The sequence below is a fragment of the Homo sapiens genome, chromosome 3 (assembly GCF_000001405.40).
Source record: "Homo sapiens chromosome 3, GRCh38.p14 Primary Assembly".
Taxonomy (NCBI): domain Eukaryota; kingdom Metazoa; phylum Chordata; class Mammalia; order Primates; family Hominidae; genus Homo; species Homo sapiens.
In genome coordinates, this window is record NC_000003.12 from 37374854 (window position 1) to 37397878 (window position 23025).

A 23025-nucleotide genomic window follows, 5' to 3' on the forward strand; every position below is an offset into this window, starting at 1 on the left:
TGAGTCTTAAGGTGCCAAAATAATCTCCTTTGACTCCATGTCCTATATCCAGGGCACACTGGTGCAAGGGGTGGGCACCCAAGGCCTTGGGCAACTCCACCCTTGTGGCTTTGCGGGGTTCAGCCCTGTTGCTTCTCTCACAAGTTGTTGAGTGCTTGCAGCTTTTCCAAATGCAGAGTGCAAGCTACCAATGGATCTACTATTTTGGGACCTGGAGGATGGCGGCCCCCTTTCCCACAGATCCACTAGGCAGTGCCCCAGTGAGGACTCTGTATGGGGCCTCCAACCCCACATTTGCCCTCTGCACCATCCTAGTAGAGGTTCTCTGTGGGGGCTCCCTGCAGCAGGCTTCTGCCTGGGCACCCAAGCTTTCTCTTGGATTCTCTGAAATCTAGGTGGAGGGTGCCAGGCCTCATTCCCTCTTGCACTGTGCACCTGCAGGCTTAATACACATGGAAGCCACCAAGGCTTACAGTGGCTTGTGCTCTCTGAAGCAGTGGCATGAACAGTATCTGAAGCCCTTTAAGCCAAGGCTGGAGCTGGAGCTTCCAGGATGCAAGGAGTAGTGTCCCAATGCTGCACAGGGTAATGGGGCTCTGGGCCTGACCCACAAGAAGCCATTCTTCCCTCCTAGGCTTCCAGGCCTGTGATGGGAGGGGCTGCCAAAAAGGTGTCTGACATGCCTTCAAGGCCTTTTACCCTTTGCTTGGCTAGCAGCACTTGGCTCCCTTTTAGTTATGCAAATTTCTCTAGCAAGTGGTTGCTTCATGGCCTGCTTGAATTATTCTCCCCCAGAAACCTTTTTCTTTCTCTGCCAAATGGCCAGGATACAAATTTTCCAAACTTTTATACTCTGCTTTCCTTTTAAATATAAATTCCAACTTTAAATCATACCTTTGCTCCTGTATCTGAACATAGGCTGTTAGAAGCAGCCAGGCCCTATCTTAAAAGCTTTGCTGCTTAGAAATTTCTCTGCCAGATACCCTAGGTCTTCACTCTTTAGTTTAAACTTCCACAGATCCCTAGGCCATGAACAGAATGCAGCCAGTCTCTTTGCTAAGGCTACAACATGTATGACCTTTGCTCCAGTTCCCAATAAGTTCCTCATTTTCAGCTGAGACCTCAGCAGCCTGGATTTCACTGTCCATATCACTATCAGCATTTTGGTCACAGCCCTTTAACCATTCTCTAAGAAGTTCCAAACTTTCCCTCATCTTTCTGTCTTCTGAGCACTCCAAACTCTTCCAGCCTCTGCCCTTTACCCAGTTCCAAAGCTGCTTCCCCATTTTTGGTATCTTTATAACAATGCCCCACTCCTCAGTACCAATTTTCTGTATTAGGCCACCCTTACACTGCTGTAAAGATGATACCTGAAGCTGGGTAATTTATAAAGAAAAAAGATTTAATTGGCTTATAATTCTGTAGGCTTTACAGGAAGTATAGCTCCAGCATCAGCTTCTGAGGAGGAAGCTTACAATCATGGCAGAAGGTGAAGTGGAAGAAGGCACTTCACAAGGCAAAAGCAGGAGCAAGCAAGAGAGAGCTATGCTGTTAAATTATTGTGTCCCACAGAGATGACCAGACTTTAACTGTGACTGTTTTGAGACTTGTCTTCCATAACTGTTATTTTACTTTAATGTTTTTCAAAGGCAGTGTTATAATCAGCTCTAGCACTCTGACAGATGATCTTGAATGCAGGTTTCTGATAACTTTGGAGATTGTGACATTATAATAGAGGGGAAAACTTTCAAGATTCCCATAGAGAGCTAATGTGTTCATGAATATTGAGCAGAACATAAGTTAATTACATAGACTGAACTGATGGAAGACTGAAATAATCTTTTTAAGACTTGTTTAAAACATTGCTAATTCATTTGTTTTTCAGAATCTGGCAAATCTTTTTTCTTTCTGCAGTTTGGACTAGATCATGAATTCTTTCCAGGCTACAGATCCCAAAGCTAATGCTTTCAAATTTTTCTTCCATTTTTAAAATCTGGGCTCAATGAAATTACTACTATATTATTCCTTGTAATATAGGCAAGAAAAACATGTCAGACTGCTATCACCTTCCTCCTCTGTAACTAAAGGTGCTTTGAATCCAACATCTGGATAAAGTGTGCCCAACGTTAACCTTTGTTTTTCTTCTGTTTTTGTAGAAATGGCTCTTATTGAAAATCTGCCTTCATCACATACAGAGGTCTAGCCCATCTGCAATGCCACCTCCTGGATGGGACACAGCTAATTAAACTGACCTATTCTCAAGAACTAGACAGGGCTTATGACCACTGTCATGAATATTCATAGCTCTTCCTGTAACTTGTTAAATATATATTTAGCCAACCTGTCATCATATCCATTACAATTGGCTTAATTATTAAGACTAAATTCTGCATATATATCCCAGATAATTCAGGAGATGTCTTGATAACCCTGTATATTAGTTCTCACACTGCTATAAAGACATACCTGAGACTGGGTAATTTATAAAGAAAAGGGGTTTAATCATCTCATGGTTCTGTGGGCTGTACAGGCTTCTGCTTTTGGGGAAGCCTCAGGAAACTTACAGTCATAGTAGAAGGCGAGGGCAAAGTAGGCACATCTTCACATGGGCAGCAGGAGAAAGAGACAGACAGAAGGGAGAAGTTCTACACACTTTCAAAGAATCAGATCTCATGAAAACTCACTGTCGAGAACAGCAAGGGGGGAAGTCCACCTTCATGATCCAGTCACCTCCCACCAGGCCCCTCCTCCAACATTGAGGATTACAATTCAACGTGAGATTTGGGTTGGGACATAGAGCCAAACCATATCACCCTCCAAGACATGAACCAACAAATCAAAGTTATGTCTGATCCGACATTGTTGCTAGATCATCCTGATTCAGGTCAGGACTATTTTGGTGGCAGAAGCTACTTATGACTTTGGTCCTTGTGCAAGAATAAGCAGACTTCCACGTTGTGGATTTTACTGTCGTTGCACCCTCTGAAAAGGAATGCAAGGCAGGCTTTCCCAGAAACTTTCTAGACCTTGCATCATAATGCTCCAACAAATATTATCTGTAAGTCCAGGTACTCATGAATATTTCCAGCCCCAAGTAGATTAGTTCCCTTCTGATGCTCAGTGACTATGTCTCCATTAGCAGTAAGTACTTAGCTAGAATGAATACAGTGCCCAAATCCCATAGAAATGGAATGGAACTTGGCAGTGAGGAATTGTAACAGAGTACATCCATTTTTCTAAGAGATAAAATGAATAATTAAAAAAAAATTTTTCTCTTTCCCCCTTTTCCCCGATTCCTACTTAGCTCTTTGGAAATGCAATTATAACCTTTTACCTTCCCTTCACCAGACACTCCCTACAGGGCAAGCGCATCTAACTTTGTCCTAAGAAGCTCTGCTGGGAAGCTCTCTCCAACCAGGAGGTTGTCTTAAGAGAAAACAGTTAATTTACATCCCAAAGTACGTCCACTACAAAACTCTGTCCCACCTGGAGCGTTTTGGCCACCTTTACAATATAGTTCTGCCCACAAAGGCACCAGTAGTCACCAGCTCAGCTACCCACTAGATAAAGCCCCGAAGCAAGTTATGTGGACCCCTAGCTGCTCACTTCCTCTCCTGTATGCCATTCATGCAAAGCCCCCTTTTAAAAGCACTAACTTTCGGCCGGGCGTGGTGGCTCATGCCTGTAATCCCAGCACTTTGGGAGGCTGAGGTGGGAGGATCGCGAGGTCAGGAGTTCGAGACCATCCTGGCTAACATGGTGAAACCCCGTCTCTACTAAAAATAAAAAAAAAATGAGCTGGGCGTGGTGGTGGGCGCCTGTAGTCCCAGCTACTCGGGAGGCTGAGGCAGGAGAATGGTGTGAACCCAGGAGGCGGAGCTTGCAGTGAGCCAAGATCGCACCACTGCACTCCAGCCTGGTGACAGAGCAAGACTCCATCTCAAAATAAATAAATAAAAAATAAATAAAAGCACTCACTTTCTGCTCAAAAAGTGAGGTGGTGCCCCTAAGGCAGGAAGTCTGCATATGTTCTCCTAAGTTAGCTTTGGAATAAAAAGTCACTTTCTTTATACCAGGCCTCACTCTTGTTAATTGGACTCTGCAAGCAGCTGCATTTTGGTTACACTTTGGTACATTCAGTAATAGCTTTTCTTTTCTTTTCTCTTCTCTTCTTTTCTTTCTTGAAAGGGTCTCACTGTCATCCAGGCTAGAGTGCAATGATGCAATCATGGCCCACTGCAGCCTCAATCTTCTGGATTCAAGTGATCCTCCCACTTCAGCCTCCTGAGTAGCTGGAACTACAGGTATGCACCACCCACCTGGCTAATTTTTAAAATTTTTTTGAAGAGACAGAGTCTTTGTTGCCCAGGCTGGTCTTGAACTTCTAGCTCAAGCAATCCTCTTACCTCAGCCTCCCAAACTATTGGGATTACAGGCATGAGCCCAGCCCATACAGTATTTTTCTAATATGTGAGTGGATGGACGGAACAACAGGCTGTGTGTATGTACATAAATTTATATGTCTATTTATATTGAGTCATTAAAATTTCTTTGAAACCGTCTTTAATTGCATAATATTTTATCCTATGAATATACCGTTGTTTAACTCATTTTTCTGCTGTTGAACATTTTGGTTATGTGCAGTCACTTTCATTCAGTACTCCATAATGCTCTTACTTTTCTGTAGGTAGAAGCACTTGAAAAAACAATCAGGACCAACCTGTCTTTCCGTAAGTAGCCTTTGGTGCCAAACAAGTGGATACATTTCAGATTATCATGTGGCAGGTTTGTCTGGTGCCATATCCCCTAACACTCTAAGTCGCAGTGCACGGGTCAATATTCTGAGTTGGTATGCTTTTAGAACAACACCTTTCAACACTGGGCTCTGCTCAATTTGATGTGTCAAAGATGAGGGGAAATAGCAATGACTAAAGCATACTTTCTATGGCCAGAGTACGTGGGTGATAGGTGAGGGTGCAGGAAGGGCAGCGCAGCATGCCTTCCATCCTTGAGCCACTTGTTTCTATTACAACCATCAATTTTCTCTCACCTTAATTTGGGATCCTCTTTGGTTAGGTGGTGGTGGTTGTTGTTGTTATATTCTTTAGATATGTTCACACTCCAAGCATGTGAACATTGTCTTAATGACACTTTGTAAACAATGCCACCATTTAAAAATTTAAAGATTTTCCTCCAGATTAGCCTAAAATGCAGATATGGTTTTATTCCTTATAATTTTACAGTGGCTTACTCCCCTGCTTCTGGAAGACTTCTTGGTTGCCCCACACCCAGATTAGGCACTCTTTCCCATTTAAACAGGAGTATTCAGTGTGTTTCCCTATCTCTGTTCCTGTTTCTCTTCCACTACTGTATGTTGGGAGTGGGTGGGACAGATAATTTGTCTTTAAAATTCACAGGTCTCCAAGAGAAGTTGAATCAAGATCTGGCATTGATCATGAGATCCTGGACATAATGTCAATGCAATCATTGGACAAGTCTTTTGGGATATCTTGGGGAAGAGGATGAGTATATTTTTCCCAGCAGCCAGGAAGGAAATGAATATTTATGATCCAGTGTGCAGATCATGGTAGATTGGATTATTGTTTTCAATTCTTCACTCTCTCCCTGTGTTTGGATTTCACAGCTACATACTTTGTTATATGACTTTGCGGTATCTCCTGTTAGAATAGATGGAGTCCATTTCTCTCCTGGCATTGGGTTTGGGTGTGTGAGTTTTGGGTGGATAGAACATACGCCACATCTGAGTGAAAGATGACTACTATGTTGTGTAAATAAACACACAAACCAAAACAACAACAAGAACAACCAAAATAAATTTCAGGATAATGTCTTGAGTTTTTAAAAGTGTGACAATGATATGTCTTGCTATGAATTTCTTTAGGTTTATCCTGTTAAGAATTTGCTCAGCCTTTTTAACCTGTAGGTTTTAGTCTTTTGCCAGATTTGGGTTATTTTCAGCCATTATTTCTTTAGGTGTTTTTTCAGCCCTACCCTACTTCTGAGATTCTAGTGACACAATGTTGGATCTTTTTTTGTAGTCCCACAGGTCTCTGAGGCGCTGATCATTTATTTTTTCAGCCTATTTTCTCTGTGTTGTTCACGTTGTGTAATTTATTGTTCTGTCTTCCAGTTCACTGATTCTTTCCTTTGGAACCCTCCATTCTGCTATTGAACCCATCATTGAGGGTTTTTTTTTTTTTTCCTGGTATTGTATATTTTAGTTCTAAAATTCCCACTTGGCTCTCTATAGCTTCCGTTTCTTTGATGAGAATTGTTTGTTTGTTTCAAGCATGTTTGTAATTGCTCATTGAAGTGTTGGTAGGATAGCTGCTTTAAAAAATCTTTGCCAGATATTTCTAACATCTCTGTCATCTTGGTGTTGGTATCTACTGATTATCTATTTCCACTCAAGTAGAGATTTTCCTGGTTCTTGGTATGTCTAGTGACTTTCAACTGAAACCTGAACCTTTTGGATATTATGAAACTCTGGATCTTCTGTTTTAGCTGGCCCTTTTTGACACACTTTGACGGGGAAGGGCACCTAGTTGGGGGCACACCATTACTGCCAGGTGAGGGCAGAAGTCTAGGTTTTCCACTTGGCCCTCATTAACACCTGGAGTTGGGGAGGGTCTCCTTATTACTGTTGGGTGGAGGTGTAGAGTTAGGGTTCCCCAGTAGGCCTCCTCTGATACCCAGTAGGCCTCCACTAATTACATATATGTATACACATATACACACACACACACACACACACACACACACACACACACATCTTATCTTAATCCCAAATATGATAGTACAGGATAACATTAAGGTTGTTTGACCTAAGGGCAGGATTTAGTAAGTATGTGAAAGAAATCTCAGAAGAATTCCCGCAACTGGGGTTAATTAGCATCCAAGATGAAGTTGTTTTACCCTTCACAGGGGTGGAAGTCCAGACTTCCCATATGGTCTCCACTGACATGGGGACATGATATGGTGGGAAGGTCTCACTGCCTCCCACCAGGGATGCTTCCTACGTGGCCTTTTCTGACATCACCCTGGACAGAGTGTGCTTCCTTTACAGCTTGGCAGATGTTAGAGGTCTAGGCTGTCCACTCGACATTTGCTGGCATGAATGGGGGTGGGCCTGCAGTATTTTCTGTGGTGTTTGGCTGGAGTAGACAGTTGTCTGAAAGCTTTCTGTCTTGCTAGGCTGCCTCTGTCCTGGTTCCTTGGCTAGAGAGAGGAGTTCTTTTTTGGAGATTATTTTTTTTTTTTGGTCTGAATTCAGCATTTCCAGGTAGCTGGCTTCTTCAGCTCCAAGTCAGGGATCTATGAAGCAAAGAGAAAACCCAGGGAACTCACCACCATGGCATTCCTTAGGTCCCAAGGTCTCTAGCTGGTCTGGCTTCGCTTCGTCTTTTAGAGTGTTATATTTGTTTTATATATAATGTCCAGTGTTTCTAGTTGCATTCTGTGGGAGGCATAGGGAGAAGTATGTCTATCTTCCCAGAAGCAGAAGTCTCCAATACAATGTGATTTTATTTATGTAAATTTTAAAAGTTGTATGTATTGTCACAGATATACATACTTTTAATAAATGTATGCATATATAAACTGGAAGGATATATAGTTAATTCACCATGGTGTTTATAACTGATCTTCCCTGATCACTACCACCCAATCTCTGTTTCCTCACACTTCTTTAGTTTTTTCTTATGGCATCTAGTATTGTCTGCCCTCATGTTGTGTGTTTATTTGTTTATTGTCTTTTTCCTCATACTAGAATGAAAACTCCAAGAGGGCAGGAACATTATCCATCCTGCTCACTGTTGCATCCTTAACACTTAGAATATGTAGTAAGCACTCAATAAGCATGTACTGAGTGAATAAATTAATGAAAAAGTGAGTAAGAAAGGGGATAAAATGTATCAGTACTTTCTCTGTAATTAAAAACAAAACATTTTGAAAAGACTGAGAATATCACCTCTTTCTCCAATGAGAAGGCACATGGAAATGCAAGGGAGTATGAGAAACACAGTTATGGGCAGAATATGGACTCTTATTTTATAAGTCAATTAATCACAAATACTGCTATTTTAAGGAACCAATTACTTGTAACACAACTCACAACTGATCAAGACACACCAGTGGGAATGAGTACAGCTGGAAAAAGCTCTCTATTGTTTTAATTCCTACTTTATTATTATTGTTTTTTTAAATTTTTTAAACAACTTTTAGGTTCAGAGGTACATGTGCAGCTTTGTTATATAGGTAAACTCGTGTCATAGGGGTTTGTCGTAGAGATTATTTTATCACCCAGGTACTAAGCCTAGTACTCAATAGTTATTTTTTCTGATCCTCTCCAGATGCTGGCAAGGTTGCGGAGCAAAGGGAACACTTATACACTGTTGATGGGAGTGTAAATTAGTTCAACCATTGTGGAAAGCAGTGTGGTGATTCCTCAAAGAGCTAAAAACAGAACTACTATTTGACCCAGCAATCCCATTACCAGGTATATACGCAAAGGAACATAAAGACATATGCACCTGAATGTTTACTGAAGCACTATTCACAATACCAAAGACATGGAATCAACCTAAATGCTCATCAATGACAGATTGGGTAAAGAAAATGTGGTACAGATGCACCATGGAATACTATGCAGCTGTAAAAAAGAATGAGATCATGTCTTTTGCAGAAAAATGGATGGAACTGGAGGCCATTTTCCCTAGCAAACAACTACAGGAACAGAAAACCAAATATCACATGTTCTCACATACAAGTAGCAGCCACATAATGAGAACTCATGAACACAAAAAGGGGAACAACAGACCCTGGGGCATTCCTTCTTTTCTAGATAAGTTTTTCTTTTGGGATTTGAGCCTCTTTGATTTGAAATTTAGCATAGGCCCAGAAGAAGACTCTGTCCTCTGAGTTTAATTTTTCCTAATCTCCTGGAGAGGCAGCATTGGCTACTAGCTAAGAGTACAGCCCCTGGGGCCAATGCTATGGAGTGAATGTGTCTCCCAAAATTTGTGTGTTGGAAACTTAATCCCCAGCACAACAGTGTTGGGTAGTGAGGCCTTTGGGGAGGTGTTTAGATCCTAAGGGCTTCGCCCTCATAAATGGATTAATGCCACTATAAAAAGGGCTTGTGGGAGTGGATTTTCTCTCTCTTGCCCTTCTGCCTTCCACCATGTGAGGACACAAAAAGAAGTTCCACACCAGATGCTGGCATCTTGATCTTGGACTCCCCAGGCTTCAGAACTGTGAGAAATAAATTTCTGTTCTTTATTAATTACTCAGTCTCTGATATTCTGTCATAGCAGCACAGAACAGACTAAGAAAGCCAGTCTGTCAGTGTTCAAGTTCTGGCTTGACCATTTGCTCACTAGGCAAGGGAACTAATCTGTAAGCCTCATTTTTCCCATCTATAAAATGGGAATAATAATAGCATCTACCTCTAAGCGTGGCTGTAGATTGAATTACTACTTATAAAATGCTTAGAATGGTGTCTGAAACACAGTAAGAGCTCAATTAAAATTGTCTATTGCCAGCCTCTTGTTAATAGCTTATAAGATTGAAATTATTAATTATTAACTATTAACATGCAAGAGTGCCAGGTAAAATGCAGGTTGAACAAAACTAAAGCCAGGCACTTTTGTGGTTGGCCACAATAGGCAAGATGCTAATGACTATGGTCACCAACTGCCCAGAACCAACCCCTGCCAATGCCAGGAAGACCTTACAGAGAAGAGCCTAAGCCAAAAGAGGTGCCCACGTTCGCCTGGAGGTTGGCAAAGGGAAGACTCATTAAAAAAGACAAGCAAAGACTGCAGGGAGGGGCTTCACCAATCTGGCTGTCCTTTCCAGCCCTTGTTGTTTTCTCACACACTGTCCTGCCTTGAGAGCAGGATTTCCTTCCTTTCCCTCTGACCTCAGAGGCACCCCACTCTAAGTGGGTCTATTTCATCTCTCTGTGCCCTCATCCTGCAGGGATCCTTGAGATGCTGTGTCAAGCTGAACTCTAGTGTTTGCAAAGCTAATGATCACTTGGAGCAGCCAGGGCTTCTCTGGGGCAGGCCCGAAGGAAAGCTCAGGAGGGGGCCCCTGCTTTAACCTTGGCTCTAAGTCTGTTGGAGAAAACTCAGGATTTCCTGAGCCTAAAGCCAGAATTGCCATCAGGTTCTCTATTAGTCCTATTTGTGTTCTATTAGTCTGTTGGTGACCACCTTGCTGCATTACCCTGGGATAATCCAGGCTTGTTTTGCTCTACCCTAGGTCTGTGAGGTGAATGGCTGCCCAGTAATCCTACTGCCAGTATTCAATGAGAATACACATGCTCACTTTGTTCCTGCCTGTGTCAACCGTAGCAGCTTCGCAGTCTTAACCACTGGGTCTAACCTTCTTGGCCTTTTCCTTTTACCTCAACTCTGCTCAGTCTCGAACTTGCCCTTCATTCCTGACCTTTGATTATATTCTCTCAGAGTTAACCCTAATTCTGGCCTCCAGGGCTCCGTAACTATTATTCACAACCAACCCTTGGACGAAGCCTGATCCCAGCTGTCCCAAGGAATCATCCTGTTTGGTCCAGACCTGACCCCTGGATCCTGCCCCATCACAGGCTCTTGAGGCTGGTTGGGGAGGGAATGGAACTGGTTCATGGGGCCTGGTTGTATGCTTGAGGCTGACACTGTCATATATAATGAACCTAAGCCCACATGGCACTGTCCACCCCAGCCATGGCTGAATCAGAGGGGAGGCCAAGAGTTTGTGAGTGGAGCACCAGATGAGTCTGATAGAAACTTTCAGACCCCTGTAGGTGGGGAGCTAGACTTGAGCTTCTTACATAAACCCAGGAGGCACTGAAGACTGGTCCATCCATTAAACCAGAAGTAAAAAAAACAAAAACCAAAGACCAAAACCCTCTGCTATCCAGTCTGGGAAAGCAGAAGAAGCTGCACTTTGCCCCGGTCAGTGGATAGAAGAAGAGTTGCCTGTGAGCAATTCGAGGCTGAGCCTGAACTGTGTGCGTGTGTGAAGTTCAGATTCACACCACGTGAGTGATGCAGGAACATAAAGTCATGCAGGAACTCCAGGCAAGGAGTGGAACATAAACACTGCCCTGAAGCCCTCAGAATCCCAGCATAAGCTGATGAGAAGCTAAAAGATGCCTGCATATCCCAGGGTGCTGGAACTTCCATGGAGAATCACCCTGCTGAAGACGAGCTAGCGGGAAAGATTCCAAGCCATGAGAAGAAATGAATTCGTGAGAGGGAGCAGCCACAGACACACAAATAAGATTGCATCCCAAGAAGGAGAGATGATAAAACAATCTGGAAGAAACCTTAACATAGGTACACAGAAGAAAGTGCTGGTGTCATGAGAGCCAAGAGGAGGAGCACCTAACTGATCATTGAGAGAGTGACACCTGGTCTTAGGCTTAGAAGAGGAGTAGAAGAGAGCCAGTGAAGTCAGGGAAGGCTTCCAAGGCAAAAGGACCAGCAAAAGGTAAGAAATAGTCCAGTTTGTGTGAATGTGAGCCCACAGCAAGTGAGAGCTGCTGACGAAGTGTGAGGCAAGTGCGGGAGGCGAGGCTAGAGGCAGATAGGGGCCAGAAGTTGAAAGCCAGTACATTTTGCTAATTTCTTTCTTTTCTTTTTTTTTTGGTAAGACATGGAGTCTTGCTATGTTGCTGAGGCTGGCCTTGAACTCTTGAGCTCAAGTGATCCTCCTGCCTCAGCCTCGATCTTTCTGCCCCAGCCACCTTAGTGTCTGGGACCATAGGTGCACGCCACCATGTCTGGCTTAATTTCTTAGACCTCATCCTAAACTGTAACAAGAAACAACTCCAAAATAGTCTTTGATGTTTTTCAGCTGAAAGCCATTTATCTCCTTCCATGAAAGTTTAGGGCCAGTTTTGCAACCAAACTCTTGCAACAGCAGCTTTTGCCAGTGTGGACTCTGAAAAAGGAAATGCATGTGGGGTGTTCCATTGCTCAAGCTGAATGCAATGCACAAAGTAATCTGGGCCTCTCAGAGGAAGGGAAAAGAAGGAGCTGCCTGAAGTCAAGTTTGTTTTTTAGAGCTGTGTGCACCCTGTTGCTCACTCTTTGGGCCCAGGAGAATGAGGTTACAGCCAGCTGGCCTTTGCCACCAAGTGCCACAGTCTAAACAGCTTCACAGGCAAGGATTTGGACCAGCCCCCAGGCCCCTTGGCCCACTGCTCAGTTCTTACTGAGCAGATCCACACATGGATCCCAGGCACGAGTTGGGAAGTCTGTTCCACGTCCAGCTGAAGGTGTGAATGACTGCAGTCAAGCCAACTAAATGATTGGAGACTGATCTTAAGGGAGGGAGGGTATTATCTATGCCTTTCAAGGATGTGTCAGCTCCCCCTTTCTCCCTCTGCCCAGTTTTGGATTGTGGAATGATGGCTGAGTAACAGGTGCCAAATCCAGCCTCACTTCTGCCCACTGACTTCCCAAGCGTCTCTTAGGAGGTTCATGACTGGACCCATCCCCAGGCTCTACCACAGGGAAGGTGATCTTGGGCGAATCTCTGAAACGGGGCTTTTGCCTGTGGTGTGTAATGTGTGAAAAAGCCAGGGATGGTGGGACATGGAGAATGCTTTGAAGCTCAGGCAGTCCGTCAATTCTCCCAGAATGCCTGGCAGGGATGCAGCTGGCTGCCTTCCTGTGCCCATGGCAGACATAACTATCAACACGTCTCAGTGATCTATTGCCACAATCAATGCAAGCCACCCAGAATTCAGTGGCTTATAACAAATGTCTGTTTAGCCCAAGAGAGTCTTTGGGTCAGTGATTCAGGCTGGATGACTGGTCTTGGCTAGGCTTCCTCACGTGACCTGCAGGGTGGCAGGCTGTCAATTGGGGGTCACCTGTCTGGGGCTTAGCTGGGGAGCCTTGGCTGTGCAGGGAAAACTTTCTGGAAAACTCTGCCATCCTTCCAGAGGCTGTCCGGGCACGTTCTTATGGCAAACTTGGAGGTGCAAGAACAGAAGTGGCAACCTGCCGGCATTTTTGAAGCTTCTGTCATGTCACAACCTTGACCAAACTCAGAATGAAGGGGGAGATTCACACCACTCTCGATGGGAGGAGCCCAAAAGTCACATTATAAGGGTGCGAATACAGTGAGGGGTGAAGATTTGGGGCACTTAATCAGTTTACCAAAACACTTTTCAGCTCAGTCCTCCACAACTGCTACCAATCGATTGAGTTCAGACACGACATAAAAGCTGTTTGCCATTACAACTCTAAATACACAATTTTCAAGCTAGGTTTTGTGTAGCCCTGCAGTTCCAAAAGAGTGCTTCAGGGAACTCTGCAGGGACTGGGGTGATGGAAGGAGGTGGAGGATAAAAGGCAGGGTTCTGGGTTCTCCTGCTCACTTAGAGCTCATCCACTCTTACTTGTTTTATTTATTTATAAATCTAAAAGCCTCAGTCTTTTAGATCCTGCAACCAGAAACTGGCTCACTGTCACTCTGCCACATTCTATTGGTCAAAGTAATCAATTACTAACCTAAATTCAAATGGGGCCTGGCTAGTTTTTGTATTTTTTGTAGAGACAGGTTTTCACCATGTTGGCCAGGCTGGTCTCAAACTCTACTTCCTTTTCCTGGAAGGTTCACTTTGAGAGGAGCTACCCATCATATATATATAAGTAGTCTGACTACTCTCAGACTGCCATACTTGTAAGAAAACTCAAGCTAGCCATGTGGAGACAGATGCCTGGTCAGTCCTGAGAGGTTGTAGCTCTCTCAGCCTAGGAAGTATAAAGCCTTCCCAAGACCCAGCCCCAGCCACCATCTGACCAAACTGTATGAGAAATCCCAAGTGACAATCACTCAGCTGAGCCCAGTCAATCCACAGGGGCATGAGAGACATTAATAAGGTATTATAAAAATTTTTTTATTGGGATGTAATTCAATACCACACAGTTTCCCAATTTAAAGTGTACAATTCAATTGTTTTTAGTATAATATATTCACAGTTTTACAATCATCACTACAATCTAATTTTAGAACACTTTCATCACCCCCAAAGAAATCCTGCAACCTCTAGCCGTCACTTCTCATTTCCCTCCTTCCCTAACCCCTTCACCCTGGGGCAACCATTAATCTACTTTCTATCTATGTAGATTTGCCTATTCTGGACAATAGGGAGTCTTTTCCCCCATTGCTTTCATAGAAATGGAATCAATCATATATGGCCTTTTGTGACTGGCTTTTTAAACTAGCACCATGTTTTCAAGGGTCATCCATGTTGTAGCATGTATAAGAACTTCATTTCTTTTTACTGTCAGTAATATCCCTTTGTATGGATAGATCACATTTTATCCATCCATTCTTCAATTGATGGACATTCAATTGCTTCCTTTTTTTGGCTATTCGTGAATAATGTTCCTATGAGCATTGCTGTATAAGCTTTTATGTGAACATATGTTTTCAGTTCTCTTGGGCATATATCTAGGCTAGCAACTTCTTTTTTAAACTTTTATTTTAGGTTCAGGGGTACATGTGCATGTTTGTTTCATAGGTGAACTCGTGTCACAGGGATTTGTTGTACAGATGATTTCATCACCCAGGTATTAAGCCCAGTACCCAATAGTCATCCATGTCTTTGTGATTGTGAATAGCATTACAATAAACATTCGTGTGCATATGTCTTTATGGTAGAATGATTTATATTTCTCTGGGTATATACCTAATAATGGGATTGCTGGGTTGAATGGAAGTTCTGCCTTTAGCTCTTTGAGGAATTGCCACACTGCTTTCCACAATGGTTGAGCTAATTTGCACTCCCACCAACAGTGTATAAGTGTTCCCTTTTCTCTGCAACCTCACCAGCATCTGTTATTTTTTGACTTTTTAATAATAGCCATTTTGGTTAGTAAGTGATAGTACCTCATTGTGGTTTTGATTTGCATTTCTCTAATGATCACTGATAGTGAGCTTTTTTTCATATGCTTGTTGGCCACATGTATGTCTTCTTTTGAAAAGTGTCTGTTTATGTCCTTTGCCCATCCTTTAATGGGGTTGTTTGTATTTCTCTTGTAAATTTGTTTAAGTTCCTTATAGATGCTGGATATTAGACCTTTGTCTGATGCATAGTTTGCAAATATTTTCTCCCATTCTGTAGGTTGTCTGTTTATTCTGTTGATAGTTTCTTTTGCTGTGCAGAAGTTCTTTAGTTTAATTAGATCCCATTTGTCAATTTTTGTTTTTGTCGAGATTGCTTTTTGGTATCTTGTCATGAAATCTTTGCCCGTGCCTATGTCCAGGATGGTATTGGCCAGGTTGCCTTCTGGGTTTTTATAGTTTTGAGTTTTACATTTAAGTCTTTAATCCATCTTGAGTTGATTGTTGAATATGATGTAAGGAAGGAATCCAGCTTCAGTCTGCTGCATATGGCCAGCCAGTTATTCAAGTACCATTTATTGAATAGGGAGTCTTTTCCCCATTGCTTGTTTTTGTCAGCTTTGTCAAAGATCAGATGGTCATAGGTATGCAGCCTTATTTCTGGGCTATTCTGTTCCATTGGCTTATGTATCTGTTTTTGTACCAGTATTATGGTTTTTTGTTGTTGTTGTTGTTGTTACTATAGCCCTATAGCATAGTTTGAAATCGGGTAACATGATGCTTCCAGCTTTGTTCTTTTTGCTTAGGATTGCCTGGACTATTTGGGCTCTTTTTGGGTTCCATTTGAAATTTAAAATAGTTTTTTCTAGTTCTCTGAAGAATGTCGTTGGTAGTTTGATAAGAATAGCATTCAGTCTGTAAATAAATTCTTTGGGCAGTGTGGTCATTTTAATGATATTGAATCTTTCTATCCATGAACATGGGCTCTTTTTCCATTTGTTTGTGTCTTCTCTGATTTCTTTGAGCAGTGTTTTGGAATTTTCACTGTAGGGATCTTTCATCTCCCTGGTGAGCTGTATTCCTAGGTATTTTATTCTTTTTGTGGCATTGTGAATGGGATTGCCTTCCTGATTTGACTCTTGGCTTGGCTGTTGTTGATGTATAGGAAAGCTAGTGATTTTTGTACATTGATTTTGTATCCTGAAACTTTGCTGAAGTTGTTTATCAGCTGAAGGAGCTTTGGGGCTGAGACTGTAGGGTTTTCTAGACATAGAATCATGTCCTCTGCAAACAGGGAGGGTTTGACTTCCTCTTTTCCTGTTTGGATGCCCTTTATTTCTTTCTCTTGCCTGATTACTCTGACTAGGACTTCCAATACCATGTTGAATAGGAGTGGTGAGAGGGAAGATTTACTTTACCAAATATCAGCTGGAAGTTAAACTCTTGAGGTTTAACTCACCTGGAAGGTGAGGTCACGAACAAGGAGTCAAGGCAGCCCTAGGCACTCCCTACAGAGCCAGTAATGGACACACAGCCAGGGAGCAGGGACACAGGGAGGAGACATTAGATGCATTTTGAGGATGAAATAGCTATTGCCTTTTTCCCAATTCACGTTACAGGGGCAACCTGAAACATATCAAAGACACAGCTTCCTTGTGCACCTTGGGCATCTCTTTTAAGAAGAAAGGAGAAGGAGGAGAAAGGGGCATTTATGGAGCATCTGCTCCTTTTGGGTTCAGCATAAAGAACTCTTCTTACACAGGCTAATTTAAGTCCTCCCAGGATGGAGGTATTGTCATCCTCATTTTACTAATTAGGATTCCCCTTTAACCACATTCAATAGCTATTTTAAAATTTGAGGCAGGGAGTGGTGGCTCATGCCTAGAATGTCTGCACTTTGGGAGGCCAAGGTGGGAGGATGGCTTGAATCCAGGAGTTCAAGACCAGCTTGGGCAACATGATAAGACCCCATCTCCACCACCAAAAAACAAATAAACAAAAACCCCCCAAAAAAAGGAAGAAAGAAAGAAAAGAAAGAAAAATAAAAAGAAATTAACCAGGCATGGTGGCATGAGCCTGTAATTCCTGCTACTCTGGAGGCTGAGTTGGGAAGATCACTTGAGCCTGAGAGGTCAAGGTTGCAGTGAGTCATGATCCCGCCACTGCACTCCAGCCTGGGTGACAGAGCAAGACCCTGTCTCCAAAAAAAAAAAAAAAAAAAAAAGGTTGAAACTGAGTTTTGTTGAGCCATATTAAGTATAGATGCTTCAAGAAAATCCCTAAAGATCAGAAAACTTCAGGTGCATTGTGATCTTGTGATAATATACAACTGGATTCTTTCCTTGGGAGAATGGGATATGTTAGAATTGCTTAACTATGGTTGGGGTGTGGAGAGGAGGAGGAGGTAGTTGGGAGAGAGAGGGCAAAAGAGTGCAAGCATGAGCAGCCAGGAGGAAGAAAGAACTTTTGCTTTGAAGGCAACTGATAAGATGGTCGTTGAAACATGTTTGAGCATCAGAAGTGTGGCCCTGGCTGACGGCCACTTTATACTGGGCACTCTGCATGCCTTATTTTCTTTAACTTTCACAACAGCCATAGGCAAGGAACCTGGGTCATCCCAGAGGTCAATAAGTGTGCCAAAAGCTACATGGCCAATAACTGGAAAGGTAGGATTTGAGTCCTAGACTTAGTGATTCCAAAAGTTTCCACTGGGCCTTCTCAAATTCATGCCAAATCACAAGCAAAATCTCTCCAATCCTCCACCTCTAAACTTTCTTTTTTTTTCTTGATTTAATGGAAAATCTTATGCCTCTGAGACTCCAATATTCCTGCAGCTTTTTCCAGGAGGTATGTCAGGGAGAGGAAAGGGGGTTGTGCTTTTATTCCCATCCCTCTTGGATCAAAGCAACTGAAGATGGAGCCAATGTCCACCTTGCAGTTTCCAGGCTGCTGTCTCCTCCTTTCCTAAAATCTCTGAGCTCTGCAACTCTTGGCATCTGCATCCCTCCACAATGTACAGACACATCTTGGTTTATTGCATTTTGCTTTATTGAATTTTGCAGATACTGTGTTTTTTTACAAATTGAAGGTTTGTGGCAACCTTGCATTGAGCAAGTCTATTGGTGTCATATTTCCAATATCATGTGCTCTGTCACATTTTGGTATTTCTCACAATATTTCAAACTTTTCATTATTATTATTATTATTATTATTATATCTGTTATCATCATCTGTAATCAGTGATTTTTGATGTTACTACTGTAATTATTTTAGGCTGCCACGAACTGCACCCATATGAGAAAGCAAACTGAATTGATACATGTTGTGTGTGTGCTAACAGCTCCACTGACCTGTGGTTCCCCAGTCTCTCTCCCTCTCCTCAGCCCTCCCTATTCCTTGAGATGCAAGCAATGTTGAAATTAGGCCAATTAATAACCCCACAGTGGCCTGTAAGTGAAAGGAAGACTTGCATCCCTCTCACTTTGAATCAAAAGTTAGAAATGATTAAGCTTAGTGAGGAGGGCATGTAAAAAAACTGAGATAGGCTGAAAGCTAGGCCTCTTGTGCCAAACAGTTAGCCAAGGTGTAAATGCAAAGGAAAAGTTCTTGAAAGAAATTAAAAATGCTACTCCAGTGAACACATGAATGATAAGCAAGTGAAGCAGCCTTATTGCTGAAATGGAGGAAGTTTTAGTGGTCTGGATGAAAGATCAAACCAGCCATAACATTCCCTTAAACCAAAGCCTAATCCAGAGCAAGGCCCTAACTTGCTTCAATTCTATGAAGGCTAAGAGGGGTAAGGAAGCTGCAGGAGAAAAGTTGGAAGCTAGCACAGGTTGGTTCATGAGGTTTAAGGACAGAAGCCATCTCTATAACATTAAAGTACAAAGTGAAGCAGCAAGTGCTGATGTAGGAGCTGTAGCAAGTTATCCAGAAAAGTTAGCTAAGATCATTGATGAAGGTGGCTGCACTAAACAACAGATTTTTTTTTTATTATTATATGTTAAGTTCTAGGGTACATGTGCACAATGTGCAGGTTTGTTACATATGTATACATGTGCCATGTTGGTGTGCTGCACCCATTAACTCGTCATTTACATTAGGTATATCTCCTAATGCTATCCCTCCCCCCACCCCACAACAGGCCCCAGTGTGTGATGTTCACCTTCCTGTGACCAAGTGTTCTCATTGTTCAATTCCCACCTATGGGTGAGAACATGTGGTGTTTGGTTTTTTGTCCCTGTGATAGTTTGCTGAGAATGATGGTTTCCAGCTTCATCCATGTCCCTGCAAAGGACATGAACTCATCCTTTTTTATGGCTGCATAGTATTCCATGGTGTACATGTGCCACATTTTCTTAATGCAGTCTATCATTGTTGGACATTTGGGTTGGTTCCAAGTCTTTGCTATTGTGAATAGTGCTGCAATAAACATACGTGTGCATGTGTCTTTATAGCAGCATGATTTATAATCCTTTGGGTATATACCCAATAAGGGGATGGCTGGGTCAAATGGTATTTCTAGTTCTAGATTCTTGAGGAATTGCCACACTGTCTTCCACAATGGTTGAACTAGTTTACAGTCCCACCAACAGTGTAAAAGTGTTCCTATTTCTCCACATCTTCTCCAGCATCTGTTGTTTCCTGACTTTTTAATGCTCGCCATTCTAACTGGTGTGAGATGGTATCTCATTGTGGTTTTGATTTGCATTTCTCTGATGGCCAGTGATGATGAGCATTTTTTCATGTGTCTGTTGGCTGCATAAATGCCTTCTTTTGAGAAGTGTCTGTTCATATCCTTCACCCACTTTTTGAAGGGGTTGTTAAATGTAGATGAAACAGCCTTCTATTTGAAGAAGATGTCATCTAGGACTTTCATAGCTAGAGAGGAGAAGTCAACGCAGGGCTTTAAAGCTTTAAAACACAGGCTGACTCTCTCATTAGGGGCTAGTGCAGCCTGTGACTCTCAGTTGAAGCCAATGCTCATTTACCATTCCAAAAATCCTAGGGCCCTTCAGAATTATGCTAACTCTATTCCATGCTCTAGAAATGAAACAAGGCCTGGATGACAGCACATCTGTTTACAACATGGTTTACTGAATATGTGAAACCCATTGTTGAGACCTATTGCTCAGAAAAAAAAGATTCCTTTCAAATACTGACAATGTACCTGGTCACTCAAGAGCCCTGATAGAGATGTACAAAGTGATTAAGTTGTTTTATGCCTGCTAACACAACATCCATTTTGCAGCCCATGGATCAAGGAGTAATTTTGACTTTCAAGTCTCAATAGTTAAGGAATATATTTCATAAGGCTATAGTGGCCATAGATAGTAATTCCCTTGAATGATCTGGGCAAAGTAAATTGAAAACCTTTTGGAAAGTATTCACCATTCTAGATGCCATTAAGAACATTTGTGGTTCATGGGAAGAGGTCAAAAGATCAACATTAATAGGAGTTTGGAAGAAGTTGATTCTAGCCCTCACGAATGACTTGGAAGGGTTCAAGACTTCAGTGGAGGAAGTAGCTGCAGATGTAGTAGAAATAGCAAGAGAACTAGAAGTGGAGCCTGAAGATGTGACTGGATTGCTGCAATCTCATGACAAATTTTAAATGAATGAGGAGTTGCTTCTTATGGATGAACAAAGAAGTGGTTTCTTGAGCTGGAATTTCCTTCTGGTGAAGATGCTGTGAACACTGTTGAAATAACAACAGTTTAGAATGTTACACAAACTTAGTTGGGAAAGCAGCAGCAGGGTTGGAGAAGATTGACTCCAATTTTGAAAGAAGTTCTATGGTGAGTAAAAGGCTGTCAAAGAGCATTACATGCTACTGAGAAACCTTTTGTGAAAGGAAGAGTCAATCGATGTGGCAAACTTCACTGGTGTCTTATTTTAAGAAATTGCCACAGCCACCCCAGCCTTCACAACCACCACCGTGATCAGTCAGCAGCCATCAACATCAAGGCAAGACCCTTCACCAGCAAAAACACTATGACTAGCTGAAGGCACAGATGATCGTTAGTGTTTCTTAGCAATAAAGTATTTTTACATTAATGTTTGCACATTGCTGTTTTTAGATATATTGCTACTGCACACTTAATAGTCTATAGTAAAATGTGAACACAACTTTTATATGCACTGGGAAATGAAAACATTTGTGTGACTCACTTTATTGTGATATTCACCTTACTGGAGTGGTCTGGAATAGAACCAGCAATGTCTCCAAGGTATGTCTGTAATTTTTGTGCGTCCTGTTCTGCAACCAACTACTTTCCTCTTTTGGCACGACTCAACATTTTTCAACACTGAAGGACAAATTTAAGATATATTGTTCCTACTCCTGTCCTTCCACCAGCCACATCTCTATTGCTTGTTTCCTCACACTTCTCCTTGGCCATCCTAGATTCCATAGCCCAGCATTACTGTCACACATCTTTAGCTGCCATGCCTGTCTCCCACCATGGAACTCATCTGGCAAAACCCTTACCCTGGTTCCATCCAACCTCCACTCACTCCTTGCCTGGTAGCTGGAGGAGGCTGGAGAATCTGCTGGATTGTGCTCACTTGCCCACTTGAGATTCACAACCACTGACTTCAAATGGGGCCCTACATGTGTGCCTGAAACTTTCCATGTTCCCTTGTCCCTGCACTCTCACAGTGCATACATGATGCATGTCTTTCCTCACACCTCCACCACCTCCTCCTCATTTCTCACTCCTCTGAAGTCCAAGCTTCCTACTGCACTGAGAAGATAGAAGCAATTGGAGAAGAGGAGGGCTATTTCCCCACCACTTCTTCAAACTTCTTTTCTTTTTCTTTTTCTTTTTTTTTTTGAGATGGAGTCTTGCTCTGTCACCAGGCTGGAGTGCAGTGGTACCATCTCAGCTTACTGCAAGCTCTGCCTCCCAGGTTCATGCCATTCTCCTGCCTCAGCCTCCAGAGTAGCTGGGACTACAGGTATGTGCCACCACGCCCGGGTAATTTTTTATATTTTAGTAGAGACAGGGTTTCACCATGTTGGCCAGGATGGTCTTGATCGCCTGACCTTGTGATCCGCCTACCTTGGCCTCCCAAAGTGCTGGGATTACAGGCTTGAGGCACCGTGCCCGGCCTTCAAACTTATTTTATTAGTCCCATAAACTCTACCATCCCTCCTGTTTCTGTAGTTGAATCCAATGCTGTTATCTGAAGCCAGCGCCTCACTTTTCTACGGAGTCTGCGTTCTCTCACCTATAAACATGCTGTAATTGCTCCCACTCAAACACGAAACAAAATGAACAATAACACATTTCTGCCTTGTCCCCACATCCCTTTCAACATCTGCTCCATTGATTTACTCTGTATTAGACCTTTCTTGAAAGAGTTGCCTGCACTCTCTGTCTCCAGACTCTTGCCACCTTTCTTTCTGAACCACTTAAGTCAGGGGTTCACCCCACAATTACACTAAGACGACTCTTTTCCAGATCACCAGTGACCTCCATCTTGCCACATCCACTGATTGGTTCTCAGTGTTCATCTTGCTCAAACTCTCATCAGCATGTGACAGTTTGCCACTCCCTCCTCTTGCCTTCTGGGTGTTCTTTCTCACCTCTCCCCACTGGCCGCTCCTTTCGCAGTCTCCTTTGCTGCCAACACTCATTCCCCAACCTCTGTAAAGTGCCCTGAGGATCACTGCTGAAGCCTCTCCCCATACTCCCTAGACGAACTCATTCAGTCTCACGGCTTCAGAGACCACTGAAGGGCTGACAACTCCCAGCTATACATCTCCAGCTCAGAGTTCGCCACCAAACTCCAGCCGTGTCTATGTAACTGCTGAGTTCACATCTCCACTTGAATGTTTTTATCAGTCAGCTCAAGTTGCCATAACAAAAAAACCACGACTGGATGAACAACAGAAACTTATTTTCTCACAGTTCTGGAGGCTGGAAGTCTGTGATCAGGTTTTAGGCAGTCTTGCTTTCTCCTGAGGCCTCTTTTTCTGACTTGCTCATGGCCACTTCCATGTGTCTGCGTGGCCTTTTCTTTCATATTGGATTAGGACCCCACCCTCATGACCAATTTTTTTTTTTTTTTGAGACAGACTTTAGCTCTGTCGCCCTGGCTGGACTGCAGTGGCATGATATAATCACAACT

General features: G+C 42.7%; 1 long non-coding RNA gene across 2 annotated transcripts in view; it reads left to right on the top strand.

Annotated features, from left to right (window-relative positions):
* The first annotated feature begins 6223 nt into the window (after positions 1 to 6223).
* APRG1 (APRG1 tumor suppressor candidate) overlaps positions 6224 to 23025 on the top strand; it is a 54421-nt gene continuing 37619 nt past the window's right edge. Inside the window, exons 1-2 of one of the 2 annotated variants that reach the window (NR_171174.1) lie at positions 6224 to 8518; positions 10288 to 11517. This is a non-coding gene — a long non-coding RNA (APRG1 tumor suppressor candidate). The remainder of the gene's footprint in view (positions 8519 to 10287; positions 11518 to 23025) is intronic. The other variant, NR_171173.1, reaches the window with a different exon arrangement.